The 2109-nt window shown below is 45.4% G+C and overlaps 1 annotated feature.

Moving 5' to 3' along the window:
• Positions 855–1724: an enhancer, noted in NCBI's record as "OCT4-NANOG-H3K4me1 hESC enhancer chr2:4293747-4294616 (GRCh37/hg19 assembly coordinates)". NCBI's record gives its function as "activates a minimal SCP1, AML or CMV promoter by ChIP-STARR-seq in naive H9 embryonic stem cells {active_cell/tissue: H9 hESC(naive)}" and the evidence as "EXISTENCE:reporter gene assay evidence [ECO:0000049][PMID:30033119]".

Below are 2109 nucleotides of genomic sequence, written 5' to 3'. Positions count from 1 at the left end.
TAAAGACTCTATCTCCAAAGGCAGTCACATTCTGAGGTGCTGGGGGTTAGGATTTTTCACCCTAGGAATTTTGGGGGACACAAAGCAGCCCATTGGAAGCAGCTAGGGGTGACGGGGAAGGTCCAACTCAGCTTCTGGGAGCAGTTAACAGCTATGTCCTTCTAAATGAGTAGAAGGGACACAGTGGGGCAGAAAGGGTTTTCTGGGGAAGGGAAGAGCTCCACAAAAGCTGTCACAGGACAGAGCTATGACAGGCAGCAAAGCCTGCTCACCTCCCCAGTGAACACCGGCCCAGGTCTGAGCTGCCCCAACAATTCGCTGTCCTTCCTCACCTGCTACAAGGGAAAGAAAGGTCACAGGAAAGGCTATGCAGCAGCAGGGCCAGGCTGGCGTGTGCCCTCCTGCACTGCCAGCATCAGCCCTGGCTCATACTCTTGGGTCCCACTGCACGGGCAGGGGCAGGAGCACAAGCCATTCCTGCAAAGATCCCAACAGCCATTCTTCTGCCCATGAGGGAGCTACTGCGCAGGACAAATGGGGCTGGAATGCACGGTGAAAGGAGGACAGGACGGCAAGGCATAGGACTGAAGAGGAGGGAAAAGGAGGCTGTTCTATTCGTGACACCAACATATTTCTGGTGAAGAAAAACATCTCTGGGAGTCCTCAGGCACAGTGAAAAGAACTCTGGTTTCTCAGAGACCCATGCTCTTTTCCTGCCTCTCCCTTTGCAGACCCCATGACCCTGGGCAGTGCCTCACCTTAATAAGCTTCTGGTTGCTTCTCTAAATTGCAAGTGATAGCAAGCTCCAGTAAGAGTTCTAGTGAGAATAAATGGGTAGCATCTACACAGTAGGTATGTCAGGTAGGTATGCAAAAAAGATCATGTCCTTCCCTCCCTTCGAGTGCCTGAAGAGAAAGGCACATGGGAGAGCCATCCACGAAAGAGGAAAGGCTGCGTGCCAGGAAACCAGCCCCCCCTCGCCAAGGCAGCAGTGTGCATGAACAGCTCTCTAGGCCACCAGGCACAGGCACATGCACTTAAGGTCAATTTTCCCCAAGCTAAGTTCTCCCTGTGCATCTCTGGCTGCAGTTTCCCATCAGAACTTAAACTTGTCCAGAGGTTTGGGGCAACAAATCGTAAAATTATCTGCTGCAGCTGAACTTGGGGCCGAGAGATAGAATGCTGGTGTAGGGGGAGCCTTGTTCGTTGCAACCAGAAACTCCTCCTCGCACCAATCACCCCGGGCCCTTTGGCTACAAGCCTGTCTCCATGTGAATGGCTCTGAAGGTAAAACCAGAAAGAACAAAACCTATTGACTTGTCTGCAGAAAGATTTGCAGCCGTTTGCTTTCTTGTAATGTAAAAATAACAAGGTTGATGTGAGCAAACAGAAAGACATAAAGTAGCCAAAAGCTGTCAATAAAAAAGACAAAGCATTGTCTGCTGAAGCTCATTCCATTCCATTCTTTAAAGGACTCTCTTTAAAGCAAGCTTTGTTCTCCCCGCAGTACTTAAAGAAAATGCTTCCTAAATGATTCAGAAATTTCAAGCTTTCATAGGTAAGCCTGTGAATAGAGTTCTGTGATTATTTGGGACATATAAAGAATAATATGTCTTTTTGTAGTTTTCTAATTTACAAATGAAAGTTCCTAAAAGTAGTGGACTTAGCATATAATTAATGTCTCATAAAAAGAAAAATATAGGTACGTGAGATAGAACCCTTTGTGTTTTTCTCATAATTTACAAAAGTATATATATCAAAACTATCTTTCTGAACTCTGCAGTTTACCATCAAACTTTGCCAGGATTAAGACTCATAAATTTAGCTGAGCAAGAGAATATCATGTTACTATTCGCTAAACCAACACAATTTCAGTGTAACAGAAGAACAGACAAATAAGTTATTCTTATTTATAAATCTAAGATAAACAAAGTCTTAATTTAAGTACCAAAAAACCCCCAACTTCGTACCCTCCTTCATCTTTATGTTAGTGAAACTAAAATCCTTTATTTTGAGTGAAACCACCCATTTTCGTAGGGATTCAGGGAGGCGGTTGACTCTTGGGTTTGACTCTGAATCTGAAGTCGCACATCCCTATCTCCCTTCCC

This window comes from Homo sapiens, chromosome 2 (assembly GCF_000001405.40).
Source record: "Homo sapiens chromosome 2, GRCh38.p14 Primary Assembly".
In the NCBI taxonomy this organism is placed as follows: domain Eukaryota; kingdom Metazoa; phylum Chordata; class Mammalia; order Primates; family Hominidae; genus Homo; species Homo sapiens.
Note: the sequence above shows the minus strand (reverse complement) of the source record. Positions and strands in the feature narration are given on the sequence as shown.